The 22,387-nt window shown below is 41.1% G+C and overlaps 1 protein-coding gene across 4 annotated transcripts in view, besides 3 other annotated features; it reads right to left on the reverse strand.

Moving 5' to 3' along the window:
• DAB1 (DAB adaptor protein 1) overlaps positions 1 to 22,387 on the reverse strand; it is a 1,551,949-nt gene that overhangs the window by 1,004,108 nt on the left and 525,454 nt on the right. The gene's annotated exons all lie outside the window — the stretch shown is intronic.
• Positions 4,074 to 4,703: an enhancer, noted in NCBI's record as "OCT4-NANOG-H3K4me1 hESC enhancer chr1:58468631-58469260 (GRCh37/hg19 assembly coordinates)". NCBI's record gives its function as "activates a minimal SCP1, AML or CMV promoter by ChIP-STARR-seq in primed H9 embryonic stem cells {active_cell/tissue: H9 hESC(primed)}" and the evidence as "EXISTENCE:reporter gene assay evidence [ECO:0000049][PMID:30033119]".
• Positions 4,704 to 5,333: an enhancer, noted in NCBI's record as "NANOG-H3K4me1 hESC enhancer chr1:58469261-58469890 (GRCh37/hg19 assembly coordinates)". NCBI's record gives its function as "activates a minimal SCP1, AML or CMV promoter by ChIP-STARR-seq in primed H9 embryonic stem cells {active_cell/tissue: H9 hESC(primed)}" and the evidence as "EXISTENCE:reporter gene assay evidence [ECO:0000049][PMID:30033119]".
• Positions 8,204 to 9,172: an enhancer, noted in NCBI's record as "OCT4-NANOG-H3K27ac hESC enhancer chr1:58472761-58473729 (GRCh37/hg19 assembly coordinates)". NCBI's record gives its function as "activates a minimal SCP1, AML or CMV promoter by ChIP-STARR-seq in primed H9 embryonic stem cells {active_cell/tissue: H9 hESC(primed)}" and the evidence as "EXISTENCE:reporter gene assay evidence [ECO:0000049][PMID:30033119]".

The following is a 22,387-nucleotide window of genomic DNA, read 5'->3' on the forward strand; positions in this document are numbered from 1 at the left end:
GTACATGGATTATCAATTTTAGATTTCCAGGATCTCAGGTGCAATGCTGGCTCTCCATTTATCTTCCTGCAGGGAATTGGTCCCACTGAGAGGATTTATTAATAAGCACATGTACTTTGTTACTGAAAAGCCACTGAACCTCTTCTTTAAAAATGGGAGCATTTGTGAGCTGCTGTGAATATATCCATATACATTTTTAATCCTCGCTGTTCCTGCCAAAGACTAACCTTCCTTTAAGAGGACTTTCTTTATGAGCTACCACTTATTAATCTGCTATCATGGGCCAGGGTCCTATGCTAAGTATCTTAAATACATCGTTTCTCATAACCTGTAGAACAAGCCAGAGAAGGGAGTCTTATGAACTGTACAGTTTGGTGAAGGTACTGAAGATCAGCCAGGTTAGGGGCAGGGCAGTGGTTCTCGAAGTGTGTCCTGGACCAGCAGCATCAGCAGCTTGTTAGGAATGCACATTCTCAGGTCCCCATTCCAAATCGATTGCCTCAAAATCTCCAGGGGTAGGATCAGCACTTTGTGTTTTAACAAGCACTACAGGAGATTCTGAACCCTCTGTAAATTTGAGGGATTTCCCTAGGATCCCATAGCCAGGAAATAGTGGGGTGGGATTGGAGCTTGGGTCTGAGGACAGACTAGAGCCTCTCTCAACCAAGAGCAATTCTGCCCCCAGCAGACACTTGGTAATGTCTAGAGATATTTTTGTTTATCACAACTGAGGTGGGGAGAGTTGCTACTGGCATCCAGTGAGTAAAGGCCAGAGATGCTACTAAGATCTCACAATGCACTGGACGGCCCCCAGGACAAAGAATTTTCCAGCCCAAATGTCAGTAGTGCTGAGGTTTAAGAAACCCTGGTCTACAGCTTTATGCTGCCTTATAAAAAAGACAGTTAAAAGCAGGGAGGGATGAGGGAGGAAGAGAGGGAGAGAGAGAAACAGAGAAAGACAAAAGAGGGAAGAAATGAAGGGAGAGAAAGAAAGAAGAGAAGGAAGAAAGAAAAGGAGTTAAAGGAAGAAAAGAAGGAAAAGAAGGAAGGAGGAAGAGAGAGAAGAAAGGGAGGAAAGGGGAGTGGGGAGGAGGGAGAGAGAAAAGAGAAGAAAGAAAGGGAGGAAGAGAGGGAGGGAGAAAGGGAGGGAGGAAAGGAGTGAGAAATGGAGGGAGGGAGGGAGGAGGCTAAATGGCTGATTTGGAAACAGTCAGTGGGAAGGTCTGTCCTGCCCTTGAAGAGCAGGAAACTGGAAATCAAAATGGCCCTTTAAAAATAATTGTGCTAGAGCCTGGGAGCTACATAGAATGGAAATGAAATAAGTCTTCAGTGTATCATACTTAGTGCAACTTTTGGATGTGAAATGTACTTACAAAGTAATGTGGCATTTCAAAAGCATGTTGTCCTCTGATAAGCCAGGGTTTGGAACCAGAAAGAAAATATCTGTATGGACAATTACCAGACTGTAACAGCCGATGAATGTGATTTGTGACTTGCAGCTGCTGTATGTGTTTTGGCACATAAACACATAGACATTGGTCATCTTTTCAAATGCTTTTAATATTTTCTCCAGCATGAGCTCCAGCTCTGCTGTCTCTTGGTCTCCTCTCTCTGCCTGCTCTATCTCCCACTTAGTCTCTTTTCCCCCTCAATTATTCTCTCTTCTCCTCTTTTTTGCCTTTTTTTTTTTTTTTTTTTTTTTTGAGACAGAGTCTCGCTCTGTCAGCCAGGCTGGAGTGCAATGGGGCATTCTTGGCTCACTGCAATCTCCACCTCATGGGTTCAAGTGATTCTTGTGCCTCAGCCTCCTGAGTAGGTAGGATTACAGGCATGTGCCACTGCACCCAGCTAATCCTTGTATTTTTAGTAGGGTCGGGGTTTCACCATGCTGGCCAGGCTGGTCTCAAACTCCTGACCTCAAGTGATCAGCCCACCTTGGCCTCCCAAAGTGCTGGGATTACAGGTACGAGCCACCACACCCAGCCTTTTTTGCCTTCTAATCTTCCACATTTCTCTCTTATCTTCCTGTCTCCTGTCAATCTCTTTCTCTTCCATCTTCCCTTTCTCTCAAATTTGCTCTCATCATCTTCCCTTGTTCTCCCTACCTACCCTTTCTTCTCTCTTAACTTCTTAATTTTCCATTTTACTTTTCTTCACTTTTTTCTAAATCATGCTTTTTTCCCCTCATAATCCCTTCCTCTCCTTCCCCTTCTCTTTGTTTTTGTTTTCTCAATTTTCTCCATTTTCTCTCCTTGCACCCCCAATTTTCCCATCCTTTCTCTTGCCCCTCACTTGCTCCATCTCTCTCCTCCCTACTTTTTTTCTGGTTCAGGAAAGCCTTAGTCAGCCCATCAACTTCTAGTCAAAGGGCTCTTTTTTGTTTGTTTGTTTGTTTTGAGATGGAGTCTCACTCTGTCACCCAGGCTGGAGTGCAGTGGTTCAATCTCAGCTCACTGTAATCTCCACCTCCCGGGTTCAAGCAATTCTCATGCCTCAACCTCCTGAGTTGCTGGGATTACAGGCATGTTCCACCATGGCTAATTTTTGTATTTTTACTGGAGATGGGGTTTCACCATGTTGGCCAGGCTGGTCTCAAACTCCTGACCTTAGGTGATCTGCCTGCCTCGGCCTCCCAAGGTGCTGGGATTACAGGCACGAGCCACCACACCCAGCTGAAAAGGCCCTTTTTCTGAACCACACATCTCCTGCATTCTCAGCAGGTGAGGAAGTAAGCTTTAGGAAAGGTCTCATTGTCACTTGGGGCATGGGGGTAAGGATTAAAAAGACCACAGATTATCCCTCTGCTGTCTGGGAGTACTATGGATCCAGTTTCTGACTGTGGTAGGCAGAATAATGGTCCCCAAAGATGTCAGGTCTTCATCTCTAAAACCTGAAAATGTTATCTTTTTAGGAAAAAGAGTCTTTGCTGATATCAGTACATTAAGGATGTTGAGATGGGGAAATTACCCTGGATTATCCAGGTCAACCCTAAATGCAATTGCAGTCTCTTTATAAAAGGCAAAGGAGATTTCACACATACAGAAAGGAAAAGGTGGTATAAAGATGTAGGCAGAGGTTGTAACGATGTGGTCACAAGCCCCAAAATATTGGCAACCAGAAGCTGCAAAGGGCAAGAACAGATTCTCCTCCAAATTTTATAGTAGGAACTGGCCCTCCCAACACATTAATTCTAGCCCTGTGATACTGATTTTGGACTTTTGGCCACCAGAATTGCAAAAAAATAAGCTTTTGTTGCTTTAAGTCACCAGGTTTGTGGTTATCTGTTAGAGGAGCCACAGGCAACTGATACACTGATCTTGAGCTGTATCCACAATATTAAGTTCAGAGTTTTTGGACGGTCCCTCTGTTTGGTTAGTCTGTGACCCCTTCCTTAACTGATGAATTGGCAGGGCTCTGTGTTATCATATCAGAAGATTTTTAATTGTTTGTTTTTCTTTAAACTAGTGAGTATTTAGCATATTTTGGTATCTTTAGGCTATGAGTTAATTCTATAGTTCTTAAAGATAATACATTGTTCCATCTGCCCATATTCTTCCACTTTATTCATACATATCCATCAGCCTTACAATCCACATTCTTTTCTTTTCTGGACTACTAGGATGTTAGAAGAAAAATACAGGTTCTGGCTTATGGCTCTTTATCTGTGAGGTTCTGTACATTGATCACACTTCTGAGTCATTTTCTATAATGCAAAGATAACAGTTTCCCTTTAGTTACCTATAACAAAGAAATCAGCAGATACAAGCAGTTAACACAAGGTGTATATATATATATAGAGAGAGAGACAGAGAGAGAGAGAAGAATCCACAACATTCTAAATAAACTAATGACTTGATAAAGCCATTTTAGAGAGCATATGTCATAAATAAACAAGCAAATAAATACGAAAACAACAAGCAGTTTGAATCCAGGCAGACCTGGGTTTGAAACTTAGCTCAACCATTTAGTAGTCTTCTAAATTTAGGCTAGTTATTTATCTTTTGAGTCCTTTTTTTAAAATCTGTAATATAAGGGTGATACTATCTGTTATACAGGTTTATTATTATAAAGATTAATTAAAATGTATGGAGGAGCTCATGACAATGTCTAGTATATAATGTTATTGTTATGAATATGAATATCATTAATAAAGACTATCATATTAATGTTCATTTTATTATTTGTGTGTTCATGGAAAAATCACTTAAGTTCTTAAGCTTCAAGTGCCTGGTCTATGAAACAGGGGTAACTGCCCTTCCCTCAATGGGTAAATGTAAGGATTTGATGAAATCACACGTGACAATGGATGGCCCAGTCACCAGGGCATAGTAGGAACTCAAAATAAGCCCTTTCTTTTTCAGGCTATTGAGTGTATTGTGCTCCTCTCCGCTTCAATGACAAAGAAACCTCAAAGAAGAAACCCGATTTTGATGGCTTCTCTTTACTGACATGTTTTAAAATAGATGGCCCTCAATTTTATGGAAATCCAACTGACACTACTTAAAATTTGCATTGTAGATGGGAGAGACTTCATTTTACCAGACAATTCTTCAGTTAGCCAAAGTGCTCTAGGATTTCTTTAAAAATACAATTCCCTGCATTCTTCTGAAATAGAATTCAAATGAGGAAATTGTCATTAACCCAGCTTGTTAGGACCCCTTTATTACATAGATTCCACCTGTGTGGGTCAGGACTGTTCTGCTCTTTGTGTGCTGACTTCAGTATTCAGTCTGCCTGTCCTGCACTCCGGGGTCCACATCAATGCCTTCAACTTAGATTGAAAGTCCACTGGGTCATTGCTTTTTGACTGGCATCTGTGGATGCTTCCCGGGCAAGGTGGCCTTGTGGGAAATATTGTTGGTCATCACTGTCAGATGACTGCTCTGAGCACCTGTTGGCCTTGAAGTTTACAAACAGAAAACAGAAACTGACACGGCCCCTTCTCAGAGTAGCTGTCCAGTTTTGCTCTGCCTGGTTCTAAGTCCAGAATCCATCTCTCTTTTATGCCAGCCTTTGCCTTCCTCAGCCACCCCCAGCCGAAGGCTTCAGGACGGGAAGTGGGGGTCAGAATACAAGGGAAATATATTAGCATACGTTACTTGTTCCAGACCTAGTGCTAGGCCATCCGGAACTCTGCTTTTGAGGCTGTGAGATAACGGACTAATGCCAAGGCACAGGATCTACAATACAGAATCAGAACCAAGGAGCTCAGAGAAATAGGCAGAGGTGACCAGAAGTAACACCTCACACTGCAGAGTGAGTCACAGTTTTCTGAAAGGCTCTCTCACTTACACTCTTACATTTATTCTTCACAGCCACCCCAGAAGGGTCAGTAGTAATACACATTATTATGCACATGTTATACAAATATATATTTTCCATTTGCAGAAATTGAGGCTAAGTGCCCTGGCTGAGGTCACGCAGCTAGTTGGTGGCAGAGCTATTTAAATGCAGCTCTGATTTCAAGGCAGGCCAGGGGTGGAGATGTTGAGCCACCTGCCATTTGAAGCACTTAGTTTACCTGAAAATCTTGAACCTCAGTCCATGGGCCAGAGAAAGGATGGAGGGAAGCTGTGGGAACACAAGAATGGGGAGCAGGACCTCAGTAGCTTATGGGGCATTTATTAATAGGGTTGAGGATCTTGGAGAAAGTGTAATGGGGAAAGCAAAGGAATGGACACAGCTCCTCCTAGCCAAGTGGTGTTGCTTAACCTCTGAGCCTCAGTTTCTCCATCTGTGAATGCATAGAATGTCCTTGGTAGAGTTGTTGTAAGATTGAATGAAATTATCCTGAGAAAACTGTTTAAATCGTGCCTGAAGTACAGTGAACAACCCAAACACACGCACGTGCCCTGTTTTCTCATGATCATTGCATGACGTGTTTGTGAGGAGGAAAGTGGCAGCCAATGCCTACCACAGAGAGGCACTCAACACAGGACTCTTCAAAAAAGCCACATGTATTTCAGACCTAAAGCCAGCTTCCTGAAGAGTGGAAAACAAACACATTCACACTGACTCCACTTTTCTTTTTCTCTAATACAGTTACACTTCTTCACATCTATAATAAAATTTATATTAAAACCTCTCAGCTACTAGTAAGCCTTTTGCTACAAGGAATTGACCCTGTTTTCCAGATAAGAAAACAGAGTCTTAAAAAATGAAACTAGAGTGAGCTTGGGTGTCCCTCTTTTTATTGATAACTTCACTGTAGTGAAGTTTACATATCATAAAATTCACCCATTTCAATTGTATAATTCAATGATTTTTAGCAAATTTTCCCAGGTGTGTAACCATCACCATAAATCATTTTCACACATTTTCATCCCTCCAATAAAATCTCTCATGCCCATGTGCTTTTAACCTGCTAGGGATGATACAGCTTTGGAAGGGCTGGGGGAAAGAGGAGGCACTCCACACAGGACAGAAATGCATGAGTCTGCCCAAATATCTAGGCCAGAATTTGAGACTGGGAGCAGAGGGCTGGTGTCTAGGGGCAGAGATGATCATTGTCATTCAGAACACATGAGGCTCCTTCCTTTACAGCACTGAGAGCCTCACAAGTGTGTGGCCAGAGGACACTGCAATTCTGTTACAACTGCAACTTTAAGGGAAGCTGTTTTGAAGAGGAATCAGTAAACATGCTATATCCTCGTGGGGATCCTCAGTCCTGATACCCAGACAGCTGGCTGTGGCCAGGAGGGGCTCTGTGCGCCTGCCTTGGTTAAAAAAAAAAAAAAAAAAGGCAGTGCCTCAAGATGCAAGACTAGATAAGAATACTGAACAAGACATAAATAGCAAGATCTTTTTTGATCCTTCAGGTCACAGGAGCTTAACTGCACTCCAGTCAAATTGGTTAATTAATAATAATAATAGTGATGATGACAATAGCTCCCATTGTTTAAAAATTAATTTGAGGCAAGGCTTTGTGCTAAGAAATATATGTCCCATTCATTATGATATTTAATTCTTACAACAACTCTTTAAGGCAGGTACAATTATTGTTCCTCCTTTTTCCAAAAGGAAACTAAGGCTCAGAGAGGTTAAGAGACCCGCCCAAGGACATACAATAAGCAGATTTTAAGCAGAATTTGAAACCAAGGCTGTTTGGTTGGCCTGTGCTTTCCCCAATTAACACAGCAGTGGCAAAATAGCACTACTATTGATTGATGTGTGACCCCATCTATTTTTTCACTCAACTTCTCTGGGAGTCCCACGAAGGCTTGGGGCCATGTCCATTTCTGTTCACTGTTGAATCTTAGGCATCTAGTTCAGTGCCTGGCATCCAGAGGTAGTCAATGAATATTTATCAATTTAACATTGTTGAGACTCTATCATGTGAGATAAAAAGACACTAGAATATCCTGCCTTTATTACTTAGAGATTGAGTGACTGGCAAGTTACTTCTTTGTGCCTCAGTTTCCTCATGGGTAAAAGCAGAAGGGAATAGAATCATTAATCTTAGAGAATTGTTGAGAGGATTAAATATGCTTGACATCTGCCTCCTATAAAGTCAGGACTCAATAGCTGCAAACTCTTCCCAGTATTAGTAATAATATACTACTGGTAAGTATTGCAGAAATAAGGATATTTAGGATCACAAAGATGAATCACTGTAGCATAGGTCCAGAGATAAGAAAGTGGCTAAGGCAAGGCATGAGGTCCTGTCTTTGCACTACAAGGATTTTTCTTGACTTTTCAATGTTCAATAAATGTTTGTTGACTGAAAAATATGCTGACTCAGAGCCAGAAGAGAAGGAACTGGTGTAAGCCAGAGGAGACCTATCATCAGCCTACAAGACAGGGCACCGCCTTCCTGCCCAGTGAATTCTGAACCTGCAAGAAGGATACTCTGACCCACTGAATGATTCCCTCTCTCGCAAGCACCTCCTCTCTGCCTCCCGTCCCTCAGGAATGCTCCTGTGAAGGTGAAACATGTGGATTCTGAAAGGGAACAGTGAATAGTTGCTCTTGTGCATTGTTATGCAAATGCTACACAAATTGGAGTCTTAAATCTGGCCTTAATGATGCCATTCTGCTTTGTCTTCCAGCTTCCCTGACACTCATTCTGAGATGCACCGTACAGATGTTAGTTTATTATGTACACCAATAACTCATTCTACATCTCAGTGAGGTGGGCTGTTAGCAGCCACCATCACAGCTCTGATAGTGATGGAATGCACCCCCATGAAAAATGTGTGATTTAAGCTCTCTGCTGCCCACAATTCAAGCGCTTTCTTTTATCAGGGCCCAAATGGCAGCTAATCGAGTTACTGGCAAATCCAGAAACAACACAGATCCCACAAAGAGGCTGATTAAAGCTTACTTGAAATTTGGAAAATAATAATATTTAAAAATGATAACATTAAAAAAAAAATCTCAAGACGCACAAAGAAAACCAATTTAGTTTGAGCCAATCCCTCATCCTCAGAAGGATTAGAAGAAAGGTTCTGCTTTATGCTAAATGTGGAGACGGCTTTTGCAGCCAAAACATATAACATCCTGCTAATTATTCTTTCAAGCTTCAACATGTACTTTATTAATCTTTTTTTCCCACTTTAACAGCCACAGATGTAGACTTAATTCAGTGTGTAAGCAATAGAATTTGTTTAAGTTCACCATGTCAGCTGCATCTTTGGTGTCTGCCTCACAAGGGCGGGCAACATTGGCAGGGCTCAGAGATGGAAGTCATGCCAATCATGTTTGGCATCATCCTTCCAGGAGATAACCTGTCTTTAGCATATCCCAGCCAGTGTACTCAAGGCAGAACAGTGTGGTCTCTTTTGAGAGTTGCTCAAAAGAAAGAGACAGCTGAAGGAGGACTAAAAGCAGTGATGATAAATAACTCCCTCTCCTACCTAAGGGTCTGGACGCTGTTCACTCCTCCCAATGGATCTAAATGAAAAATAGGAAAATAGACAGTGCAAAAAAATACTAATGACATAGAAACTAAACACTGAAAGTTCAGCTTTATTTTATATTTGGGGGCCATATTTTATTCTTTCACATGTCTGGCTATCCATTTGTTAATACATAATTAAATAAATTATATTACTTTATAATACCTACATAGTATAGAGAATCTTCTACGTGTCAAGCACTGTGTATGGGACTTAGGCATGTGGCATACAAATATTCTACTCTTCAAGAGAGGGAAGAAGAGAAAAAGAATCACTATGCATGGAATACCTACTATTACTGTTTGTCAGACACTGTGTAGAGAACTCACAATAATAACCTCTATACCCTGAGAGATAGAGATTACTTCCATTTATAGATAAGAAATCTGAAGTTCAGAGAGTTTGAGTAACTTGCCCAAGATCATACAGTTAGGAAATATTGGAGCTGGGATTCAAATCCAGAACCACCACACTCCTAATTCCCGGTTTTATCCCCTTCCAAACAGTTAAGGTGTATGGATCTTGTGGTAAATAATTATAATATAGGGTAAAGGTAAAAATGGGCCAAAACACAACAACATAAAACACTATGAAAACTTAGAGGAAAGCGAGAATGTGACCAGCTGGGAAGAGTTAAGTAAGGATCCCTAAAGAAGGAGGCAGGTGACCTAGGTTTTAAAGGGTAAGTTAGGTATATAGCAATTAACATTAAAAAGGACATTTATAGGACAGAGAACAGCCTGAACAAAGATTAAAAAGCTGGAAATCATGGATAAAGATCAGGGAGCTCAATCATAGCGGTTCGGTGTGTGAATAAAGCTAGATAAAAACAAGGTTAGGAATATAGTGTGGGATTAGATTGCAGAACTTCTGATGCTACATAAAGCATCTTTCATGAAAAATTGTAAGAAAATTGATTCCATCTTCCACCTATGAAAGACTTAGAGAAATGTTTAGTTTCATGCCAATCCAAGACATCAGTTCAGTTAAAACACAAAACCTCTTACTGAATATGTCCAAGTTCCAGCAGGGCATTTGAGATCAGAAGGTTCAAGTTTAAGTTCCAATTCTTCTACTCATTGACTCAACAACCCTGAGCACCTTATTTCATTACAGCCATGTTCTGGTGCTTGCTCATTTTCATTTTCTACAAGACTCACTACCATATGTATTGGTCTGGTCACGTTAAGCATCATGTGTCAATCATAGCAGGACAGTTAGTGGAAACATTTAAATAATGTCTATTATGTGCTTATTTATCCACACATATTCCAGGAAATGTGCATACACACCTACTAATGTAAGCTAGGCCCAAAAATTTACAAAAATATTCTTTAATTTCAAGCCTAGAACAACTCTAAAAGGTATATAGCATTACCCCACTCTACAGATGAGGACACTTGATGTCTCAAGAATTTGACCAAGTCCAGGATCATATTCCTAGAAAGTGGAAGAATCCAGTCCTTGTAAACCTAGTGCTCTTTCCACTATATTACTATTGCCTCACGCTAACCATTTCAGTGAGTGGTTAATCTCTACACTGTGGAACCCATCAGAAGTGTCCAGATAAACAATGAACAATGTTCAAACTTCATTTTTGCTGTATGCTACATATTGACAAAGGAAAACTGAAATAAGGGGGCACTGTGTAAGGTATAGCTTGCTGGGAATCATATATTATTGGGACTCATTCTACCTATTTTATAGTATATGATTGCTTTTAGGATATAGGGTTAATAGAGAGATAAAAGGAGACCATGCATGTAAAGATCTTTTGATAATATCAAGTATTGTAAGAAAAAGGCTCTGCTCTTCTTCCAGTTTAAGAAGAACTTAAGAAAATGTGTATAAAATAGTTGTTTGTACACTTGTTCTTTATTTCCCACCACTATAATAGAAACCATCTGAAAGCAAGGTGTGTGTTCTACTTATCTCTGACACCACCATAGTGGAATATTTCCAGGAAACTCAAGGTTTAGTGAATTAAACTATCTTTCCTTATATGATATTTCCAGGAAACTCAAGGTTTAGTGAATTAAACTATCTTGCCTTATGTCTGATAATGATGATGATAACTCATCATTGTCGTCACTGGGATTTGTTGAGCATTTACTATGTGCCAGGTATTGTATTAAATGCTTGGTTTTTATCAATTATTTTAACTTACATAACAACCCTATGAAGTATGCATTATTATTTTCTCTATGTTCCAGGTTGGGTAACAAACATAGAGGTGAAGTAGATTGCTCCAATTCTCACAAATAGTCAGTAGCAGACCTAGGAGTCAAGTGTAGACAGTCTGGCATGTGTATCCAATGCTGCACTCTGCTAAAAGCTGTTATTCAGAATGTGTGAACAGGCCTGACTTTTTCATAAGCAGCATTATGCCCATTCCCTCATCTAATCCTCATAACGGCCCTATAATGCAGATACGATTATTCCCACCTTAGAGATGCAGACACTGAGGCTCAAGGCCACAGACTTAGTTGGAAAGCAGCTGCATTCTTTTACTACAGAAAGAAGGATCATATTTTGCCTTCACTCAAGAAAAACATATACATACATCTGATAAAATTCCAAGAATTCTCAGAGCAATTACAGAGCCTCTTGCTACAAACACAACAGAACCTTCTTCAAAGCGCCACACATGCTTGGAAGAACACACACATAAAAGCGCAATTTGAACACTTGTCGGTTTTACCCCCTTGTTGCAAGAGAAGAAGAATGTTTATGCATCAAAAAAATCTAGCGCATTTCCCAGTTTAATTAGTTTTGTCAAGTGCCTGCAGTATGATTTCCATGTTAATTTCCCAATATCCCATTTCAGTTTCTTTATAGTCCACTTCAATTATTTGCTTAAAAATTGAGAGAGGCACAATAACTATGTTCAAATTCCACTTCATTCAACTAACATTTACTGATGTTCCATTTTGTACTAGTCCTGCAGGGCTCTCAGAAGCACAGCACATGTGCTCTTACCTGTACTCCATGCCTATTGCAGACATTACTAATCTATCAGCTTCTCCTTCCCTTATTCCACACTCTCTGGGAAGTAGAAACCTCAAAATTTGTCTCAGCATGGCCTTCCAGGCAACCAGTACCAACTGATTGATGCTGACATGGGAAAATGAAAACTATTTGCTATCCTAGTGTCAAGCATTTTCTTATAAATTTCTTTCCCATTTAATTCTCATGAGGCAGTGGTAACTACTATTTTTACTCCATTTTTACCAAAGAGGTAACTGTGGCTCATTGAGATCCTACCCAAATGTTAGTTATGAGACTGATGGGAAATCTCCCTGATCTCTTATATTTAGCATGACAACCACCAGGCCTTCACTTTCTGGTCATCTGTGGACCTGGCCCAGTATGGGTCTACTTTCCTAGCCCCTCAGGGGCTAGGAAAAGGAATGTAATGTAAATGTAAAAGGAATGAGGAAAATAGTCTCTACCGGTTTATACTAATCCCCCAGGTGGTAATAAGTATTCTTGTATTGGCCTGTGAAGCCATCTGTATTTCTGTACTTTTATAAATGAAATTGGCAGATCTGGAAGGGGTTCAAGTACTAAACTAATCCAAACTCTTCATCTTAAATCAAGGCCTATTTTCATTTCATTTAATCTTTAAGTCAGTCTTTGAGGTAGCCATATTATCCTTATTTTAAGAGGAAGCTGAGGCACAGAGTGGTTGAGTAGTTTGTCTAAGGTCACAAAACTAGTTTAGTGGCACAGTCAATCCTCAGATCTTTCTCCTTTATAAGCCTAAGTATTTAATTATACATTTTCTTTCCTGATCTCTTCTCTCTTTTCCCTTTAGAACATAAATGTAAGGTAATCAATCAAAAAAACACAATAGTTTATTTCTTCAACTTCATTTTCGTCCCCTTCCTTCTAAAATTCTTTTTCTTTTTATTTATTTTTTGGAGACGAAGTCTCTTTCTGTCGCCCAGGCTGGAGTGCAGTGGTGCGATCTCAGCTCATTGCAATTTCCCCTCCACCTCCGGGTTCAAGCGATTCTCCTGTTCAGCCTCCCAAGTAGCTGGGATTATGGGCATCTGCCACCATGCCTGGCTAATTTTTGTATTTTTAGTAGAGACAGGGTTTTGCTATGTTGGCTAGGCTGATCTCAAACTCCTGACCTCAGGTGATCCACCTGCCTCGGCCTCCCAAAGTGCTGGAATTACAGGCGTGAGCCACCATGCCCAGCCATCTTTTTATTGTGCATACATATATATTTTAAACAATAGATGATTGCTTAGTTATATATTTAACAAAGTTCCCTGAGTCTTGTATAGTGACCATGAAATACAGAGATGAGTCACAAACTGTTTGTGCTCTCAGGGAGATTACAGTCTGGCATGAGAAGGACTGACCAATCAGAGGCAATTCAAATGCAGTGTGGTTCTGACAGCACAAATACAGGAAATGAGGAAGCAGAACATCTGAGTTCTGGGCCCACTCAGAAGTGACCAGAGTAATTGATTATAGCTACTGACCCCTAAATCTCAACAGCTTAACATAATCTTAAGTGAGTCAGGAGGCTCTACTCCATGGGGTGACTCAGGGACTCAGGTTGCCTTCATTATACGTCTCTGACACCCCTGTGGCCTCTTCAGGGTCCACTTCTGGATTCTTCCTTCTGGCCTACTGTATATGTAACTAACCTGCACAACGTGCACATGTACCCTAAAACTTAAAGTATAATAATTAAAAAAAAATTAATGTTTGTGTTTCCCCAAACACAAACATATGTTTAAATTCTAATACCCAATGACAGTATTAGGAAGTGGGGCCTTTAGGAGGTGATAAGGCAATGAGGATAGAGCTGTCATGAATGAGATTAGTGCCCTTGTAAGAACAGACACAAGAGGTTGGTCTTGCTCTCTGTTTTCTGCCACATGAGAATACGAGAAGATAACCATCTGCAAACTAGGAAGTGGCCCTCACCAGACAACATATCTTCCAGTGCCCTCATTTAGACTCCCCAGCCTCCAGAACAGTGAGAAATGAATGTTTGTTGTTAAAACCACTTAGTCTACAGTATTCTGTTATAGAAGCCAGAATCGACTAAGACATCTGCCAATGAGAGGGAAGAGAGAGAGACTGTGTGGCAGGCTGTGGAAAAGAGTTTAGAGATCAGATCTTGCAGAGGTGTATATCATCACTGGCCATTTAGTCAATATAACTTATGAGCCTCTGGGGTGTGGACTGACTCAATGCTCACTTTTCCTCTTCCTTATTACACAAAATGACTAAATTCCCCAACTTTCCTTAAAGGTAAGGGTCCTGTAACTGGGTTCTGGACAGTGGAACACCCCTGACTCTCATGGCACAGTCTCGTCAGTCTGTGATATGAGAAACCTTTGTGGTATTAAGCTATTGAGATTTTAGGATCGTTACAGCAGCTTTTGCTAAATTAACCTGACTAATAGAGATTCAATTTCTTTCATTCTAAAATGAAGATAATAGTGCCCTGCCATGAGAAGCAAATAAAAAAGTGGGCATGAGAACTCCCAAGTGGTGTAATGTATTGTTTCCCATTATTCATTTCACCCTAGAAAAGCAGTTGGGATCTCAGGTACAGAGACAGCAAGGAAGGCCTCTCTGACCATTGTGTGATGCAGGACAGGACATCAGGCACTTCAGAGACCACAGCAGGGGGCGCCTGAGCCACATGCTCCAAAAAAAGAGAAGAATTTTTACTGGGCTTCTTTCTTTAATAACAACAACCTTGTACACTTGTGTCAATTCCTTCATTACGACACGAGTGGTCATCCCTAGCAAAGAGTCTGTTGGACAGTAAATGTCAGGCACAGTTGAGCTAAAACTCCTTCCTGCAACATCTGGAGGGTTGTTTCCCCCTCAGAGCTGCTCCTACCTTGGTCCCATTGCATCCATTTTACTTGAATAATATGAATAATAACCAGTGGTTTGCTGGAGCAGACTCACACCAGCTCAAGAGAGTCAGTTATGCACATCATTCCCAAGTCTTCATTCTGTGATGTCAGTAGCTTGAAATCAGTCATGGTGGGAGTGCTTACACCACAAAAACAGGCAAATGGGCAAATCATGGACTTTTATCTTCCTTTATTTCTTCCTTTTCTTTTTTTCTTTTTTTTTTTTTTCTTTTTAAGATGACTGTAGTATAAGAATTCACCAGCACACCACTGGTAATAACACTTTTAGTAATAATAATGGTAGTAGCTATTATTTCCGGCATGGTCACAGTGTTCCAGGGCCATACTTAATAAATGCTAAATATGTTTCATTTTACTTATTCCTTGTAACACTCATGGAATTAGCTGTTACTGTGTTACTCCTACTCCAAAGTGGAAAATAAAGCTCAGAGAAATTAGTAACTTGCTGAAGGACATGCAGCAATGAATTGGGAGTACAAGGTTTTGAACACAGCTCTGTCTGACTCAATGTTCATATTATTTCTATTGTGTCATTAAATAAAAGGAGAATTTGAGTTTCAAAATTGGATTCTTGAGGGTTATAATAAGGTTGTTTCTACCTAGGGAGGGAAAGAATAATAAAATACTTAAAATGCATCTGTCTTTGCATGAGATTACACAGTTTAGTAAAAACACTCTCTCAGATGCTGTGGATATTAATCCTCCAGGATCTCTGTGAGTGATTCTAGGCAGTCACTGCTACACTCTTTTGGCAGATCAGTGGACTGGATTCATGCAGTTGGGTGGTTTGCTCCAGACCAAACAAAGATGGCAGGTGCAGATGTGGCCCTTGGGCCCTCGGTCTTCCACCATGCTGTCAAGTTTTATAACTTAAAAGATCACACTGCAGTCATATCTTGCCCCCATAAATTATGATTGCTTATTTATATATCCACCTCTGCCTATTCCATGGGAGTCTCCTGACAGTGGTCTTAGAGGTCTTCCATCTCAGTGGCTCCAGGGGAAAGCACGATGGTGCCAGGCACATGGTGAATGTTTTATAAATGTCAGATTAACGAATGGCTGAATAGATGGCAATGGAGTGAGGGAATCGATTTGCCTGACTTAATGAGGGAGAGATGTAACAGAGAGGCTGACAGGAAAGGGCCTGGTCCCCAAGATAGGAGGAAACAAACAAAAGAAGAAGAAAGAGGGTACAAAGAAGGGGGAAACAGTAGTCACTGGACAGCAACTTGAGTTTCTTTATAGCAGTTTCCAAAGGCTGTGCTAAGCTCAGCCCTCCCAAACCTATGGTGAATTGGCTGCTTTTTAATCAGCAAAACTGCAGGCTCTTTTGTGAATCAAGCAAGAGAGCCAGAGTCAAACAAGAGAGAGCAGAGAGGCAGCTGCCCCACTTGTAGACTTGGCCTTAGCTATGCCATCCTGACCTATGCCAAATGGAGTCCATGGGCCTGAGATGGAGGCAGTGTCTTTGCCATTTTGGCCCAGCATTATGCCTTTGGCCCTACAGAACAACCAACTTTCCTCTTCAGAGCCAACTCTGCATCCCATCTGGCCTTAGGCATCCCTCATGGTTTACATCTCCTGAACCTCTCACCTCCAACCCTTTAACTCCTCTTCCTTCACCTCTTCTGACTCTTGGCTCATTTTCCCATCTCCTCTTTCCATGTTGTCCCCCTCCCCCTAAACATGATACTTAATTCTGTTTCTTGACTCTGAAGTCTGGCTTTTCTCCGTGGCCACAAGCTGTACTTCTGATTATGCTACCTTTGGCCTTAACGAGATAAACATATTGTCTAGTCCAGCCCAGCTGCCAAGACTACCCATGACAAGCTTGTCCTGAGCAGGGGCCCAGCATCCATGGCTTCTGTTGTTTTCTCCATGGAGAATGTGTTGGTCATGTTTGTGTTCCCAACATCTATGCCTCTCAAAATGATTTAACCATGTCAGTGGTTGCTCCTTCTTGGCTGCACCTTAAAATCACCTGGGATGCTTATTTAAAATCTAGTATCCACACCTATTGAAGATTTTATTTTAAAACATTTCAGAGATCATTCTAATGTGTGGTCGGGATTGAGAATCACAGGTCTAAGCCAATCTGTTAATCCTATTTCCCTTGCAAGGGCATGCATGAGCCTGACATTTAATCATGAAGCAAGAGATACAAACGGAAGCTGGGAGGTTCTGCAAGGAGGACACAAGAAAGAGACATGGCCCTTTCTCTGCATCAGGGTATGTCATTTCCAGATGAACTGCAAAGAACTTCTGCTGTCATTTTGCAGTGATGAAGGGACACAAACAGCCTAGGGGGGGGTAGTTGAGATACTGAAGATGGTAGAGTCCAGTAAAATGGAAAGAGCTGGGTCCCCATCACGTTTCTAAATCAAATAACTAACCTGGCCTCTGATCTTATTTAATGAGATAATGTAGTTATTTACTGTGTAAATTGGGGGTCAGTACATTTTTTTTTCTGCAAAAGGCCAAAAAGTAAATATTTTAGGCTTTGCTAGTCACACAGTCTCTGAACCAACCATTCTGCCCTTGGACATGAAAACAGCTACAGACATTACATAATGAATGGGCATGGCTATATTTCAATAAAACGTGATTTACAAAAGCAGACAGTGGGCTGGATGTCACCTATGGACTGTTTGCCAATTTCCCATTTAAGTAATCCTGAGTCAGTGTGTCTTGTTACTTGCAGCCCACGGCATGTTAAGTGATACGAGGATGATTCCCAAAACTGAGTCTGCATGAACAACTATTCTCCCTGCTGAACCCCAGATACATATATTTTGTGTCTGCTAGTCAAATCCTCCTTGATGTCCCACAGGTACTTCAAACTCAACATGTTCAAAACTGATCTCATCTTTCCCATACCTATCCCTAGGTCTGCCCCTCCCCTTGAACTTCCCACTTAGCAAATGCCACCATCACCTTGAGCTGCTCAAACTAAAAAGCCCTGAACGACCTTAATTGCCTCTATTGTCATTAGTCAGCCAGCCACTATGTTCTGTCAATCCAGCTATAAAATATTTCTCCATTCTCCATCTGTAATAAGCTATGTACTATGTACCAGGTGCAAGGCCAAAATAGTTTATAACAATGAACAATGCAGATGCAGCTACCACCCTCTCCAAGCTTAAGATAGGATCCTTGACGTACAATAGATAACACTATTAAAACCATTATTAAAACCTCCTACTTGCCAGCCTCTACACTAGGCACTTTACAGCGAGCGCTCTGATCTTCAGGACAAATCTGAGTGCACGTATTATTCTCTGTTATTCGTAGATAAAGAAATTGAGGTGAAGAAAAGTTGAATCTCTTGCCCATGGTCATGGTGGCACAGTGGGGGCAGCACCATAATGGGAGGCATATCTGTCCTCACATGAAAGCCCAGGTTCTCCTCATTACCTCTAGTCCACTGATTGTTCATCCTTGCATGGGGTTGGCTTTCTGGACCACGTTGTCACTTTGGGAATACTAGATCAATCAGTTCGCAGGATGACACCTGGATCTCACTTTGGCAAAAAGCCCATGACAAACTTCTCATCAGCACAAGGGCTATGCGATTAGGCACAGGCTATTAAAACATCTCATGTTCGAAATCAGTCACTCTGTTCTCTGCCAGTTAGGACCACCACCTGTGCCCAGGCAGGGCTTTCTCACAGAGAACAAGAAAAATCCAAGTGCTAGGATGTAGGCAGTGGGGGTCCTCAGCAAGATACTCTTTCCAAAATCATGCATGGTCAGGTAAATATGACCCAAGCAGAGCTGAAATGCTCCAGCTGCCTCTGCCCTGTCATCTTCCTCTCACATTGCTAATTTGGAAGTGAGAGGATGGTTGAAGGAACACAACCCTAGGGCTGGACAGATCTGGGTTCAAATTCTGCTGCCACCTTGGGCAAGTCACCCAAACTCCCTTTGGCCCTGCCTCACCTTCAAGCTGGAACTATGCTACCTACCCACTTCCTAGGGCTACCCTGGGGGTAGAAGACAATGAGGTTTTTGGAGAAGCAAGGGAATTGTGGGGACCTGAGCGGTGCTCAGTGAGTGGCAGCCCTCTTCCCTACTGTGGTTGCTGTAATGACAAGCTCCCAACTGGAGGCACATGAGCTCATGGTAGCCCCTCTAGGTGGGGCTGGAAGACAAAGGTTTATTGAGCTCTTAATAGCTCAGGAGTCCCAGCCCTCCTTGAGGCTGCAGCCCAGCACTGTGCTTGGCACTTTAATGTAACTTATTTAATTTCTCTTTAACCTTTCATTTTAATAATAACACATTAAGCCATTTTCAGACAATAAAACCACGGTTCGCCAATTGACAGCTATAAAGTAAATAGAATTCAAAAGTAAGACTTTCTGATCATGATGCTTGTGCTTTTTACTGCATTCTAAGTGCTTTTTACTGCATTCTAAGTGCTTTTATACACCAAGGCAACACTCACGTTCCCTCACTCTCTCTGCTTCTATCTGTGTCTCCCTCTGTCTCTCCCTGTCTGTACCCTGCCCTTACTTCTCTCCTTGCTTCCCTACTATCTCCTTCTTCCTACCTCCTTCCTACCTTCTCTCATTTTGTCTTTCCTTCAGTAGCTGGGACTACTCCCCAGCTGCCAGAATCTCTGGATTTAACCTGTCCTAATGTCCCCAGGTCTTAGAGAGCTCTGAGTTTTCAAACCTTGGGCCTGGTTGCCTAATAACAAACCCTACCTCCCTAGGCCCTCCCACAGCCTTTGGCTCCCTCTCCATGCTGTATGTAATAGGCTTTGAGCCACTTTTCTTACCCTTCAAGGATGTCTATTTCAACCAATGGCTTTAGTATAAAACCACTGACCTCTGGAGCCAGGGACTCAAAATGGGCATTGGTCCAGAGGCTGGAACCTTAGAGATTTATCTGGCAAGAAAAGGGTTGGGGACAAGCTAAACTGAAATTTCCAGAACTAGGGATTTATTTAACAAATGTTTACATAAATTCTTATTAACCACTTTTCTGGAATCGAAAGGTGTTAATTGTTTTCATAATCACTTCATGTTTCCTAATCCACACTGACATTTCTCTTTCCTCCAGGCCCTTCCAAGTCTTCCCTGAAAAACTCAAAGAAGTACATTGTTATAAAACTCCTATGGGTAAGATTCAAGATAAGAGATGATGAATAAAAAAGGAAAAAGAATTCCAATCAGTTGTATGACTACTGCCTTGGAAATCTGGCAGGAGCATTAAGGTGACATTTGAAAATATTATCATTCTCAGGAGAGGCAATGTGATAGAAAGGATACACCATGAGACTTAGAGTTAGGAGACCTATATTTAAATCTCAGCTCCACCACAGGCTGGCTGCATGACCTTGAGATAATCACTTAATCTCTCTGGGCCTCAGTTTCCTCATTTATAAAATGAATGGCCCAGATATGATGATCTCTAAGATTACTCCCAGCTCTAAAATTCTGAAATGCTAAAATGGTTCAGTTCATTCTGATGGCCAATAAATGAAGGGTGATTCAGACTACCAGAGCAATTCATATTTTATTTATTTTTAAATTATGGAAAAGTTCCTTTGGCCAGCTATAGAGGCCCAATTCACTGCTGGAACAAACGCTATGACTTCAAAGCTATAACATTAGGTATTAAATTTAGAAAATATAAAGGGAATAAAATTGTTCTTTCGTGTTTATAGCCCTATTAATAACTTTTACCTCATAATAATGTGATCCATTTTTCAACCTCAGAAGCCAGGAAATATTTAGCAAAGAAAGAAGAGAATAAACTAACAATTATTGCCTACGTACTATGAATTACTATTTATTGAGTACCTATAATAAGCTAGACACTATCCTAGAGATGTTTCTTATGTTATCCTATTTCACATTTCTAACTGCACCATGAAAAATGCATTGCTTTCCTCATTTTATAGATGAGAAATCTGAGACCCAACAGGATGTGACTTGCTCAGTATCATGAAACTAGTGAGGTCAATTTGAACCCAGGTCTGTCTGATACTCAGACCAACATTTTTCTTACTATATTACTTTTGAAATATTCTAAGCAGAGAGCTCCCTCTCAGTGGGACTAAGCAAGTAGTAATTAGGTAGGAATGCTTTAAGAGGGATCATCATGCTGGGAATAGAGTCTAAGTGGTTGGACTGGGTAACCTTTGTAATCCTTTCTATTCTGAGAATCAAGTAATTCTATTACCTTAAGTCACTGTGAGTAGAGTAATAAGAAGCAAAATCACTAATCCTCCCAGAGAAGCTGCAAAATATGTTCTCTTTATTTCTTTATAATGTTTCCTGCAATTATTTTTCTTTCAAGAAGAATAACATCTCTCTGAAATTTAGGAGTCCATAACCTATTTCCCTCAACTACTACCAGTGTTTTAATCTTTTGATGACCCTCTAGAACCACAGAATTATTATTCTGCATTAAGACTTCTGTATAATTCTACCCATGAATTAGAATGAGGAACATGAAATTTAATTCAATAGCATAGGAAATGTTCGCCTGTAATCCCAGGCAACATTAAGCTAGGTTACTTCACTTAATAATGAGCTCTCTTCTTTTTACTTCATGTGTTCAAGGAAGTGCTTAAATACCTGAAGTGCTTAAACACATAAAGCTATGGCCACCAATACATTAAAATAACTTTTTCTTCTTCCTTTTTAACAGCCATTATCTCTGGAATTCCTGTAAGGAGCTTAGAATCTATTTTTGAGCTTCCTCACTAAACAATAAGCTGAAGACAGAGATACTTCACAAGAAACTTTGTGTAATGGAATGCTTCATGGAATGAATTCATCATTATTCAGATTTAACCAAGGTAAATTCCAGCTATTTCTCCAACAAATGGACAACTTCAACTTAGATCAGGACTTCTGTGAATGGTTCCTCTCAGAAAAAGAGGTATAGCAGGTTCTGTAAAAAAAAGTCTTCCTCTCCCAAGGTGGCCTGATACGCAGAGCTGATGCCCAATGAGAAGTTGTGTAAAACTGCCTAGAATCAAGTAGCCTCTTAGGAAGAAAAGACCAGCCAGGCGCGGTGGCTCACGCCTGTAATCCCAATGTTTTGGGGGCCGAAGTGGGCGGATTACTTGAGGTCAGGAGTTTGAGACCAGCCTGGCCAATGTAGTGAAACCCCATCTCTACTAAAAATACAAAAATTAGCCAGGGGTGATGGCGCACACCTGTAATCCCAGCTACTTGCGAGGCTGAGGCAGGAGAATCACTTGAACCCAGGAGGTGGAGGTTTCAGTGAGCAGAGATCACGCCACTGTACTCCTGCACTCCAGCCTGGGCATTGGAGTGAGACCCTGCGCCCCGCACCCAAAAAGAAAATAAAAGACCTGGACCCTGCTAGTTCTCAAATTATGTCAACCAATGAAAGCAAGTGTTGCATAAGTGAAGTCACCATAGGAAAAAGGAAAATTTGAACTAGTGACCTGACTTCAATGCAAATTCATAGCTTAAGGGCTTAGAGAAAAGACTGGTTTGAACCCAGCATGGGGTGGACACTGGAAGTCCCTCCAGGCCTTGTCTTCCTAGAGTGGGCGTCATGCACTGGGCATAAAAGCTGAGCATG

Source organism: Homo sapiens, chromosome 1 (genome assembly GCF_000001405.40).
Source record: "Homo sapiens chromosome 1, GRCh38.p14 Primary Assembly".
Lineage (NCBI taxonomy): Eukaryota > Metazoa > Chordata > Mammalia > Primates > Hominidae > Homo > Homo sapiens.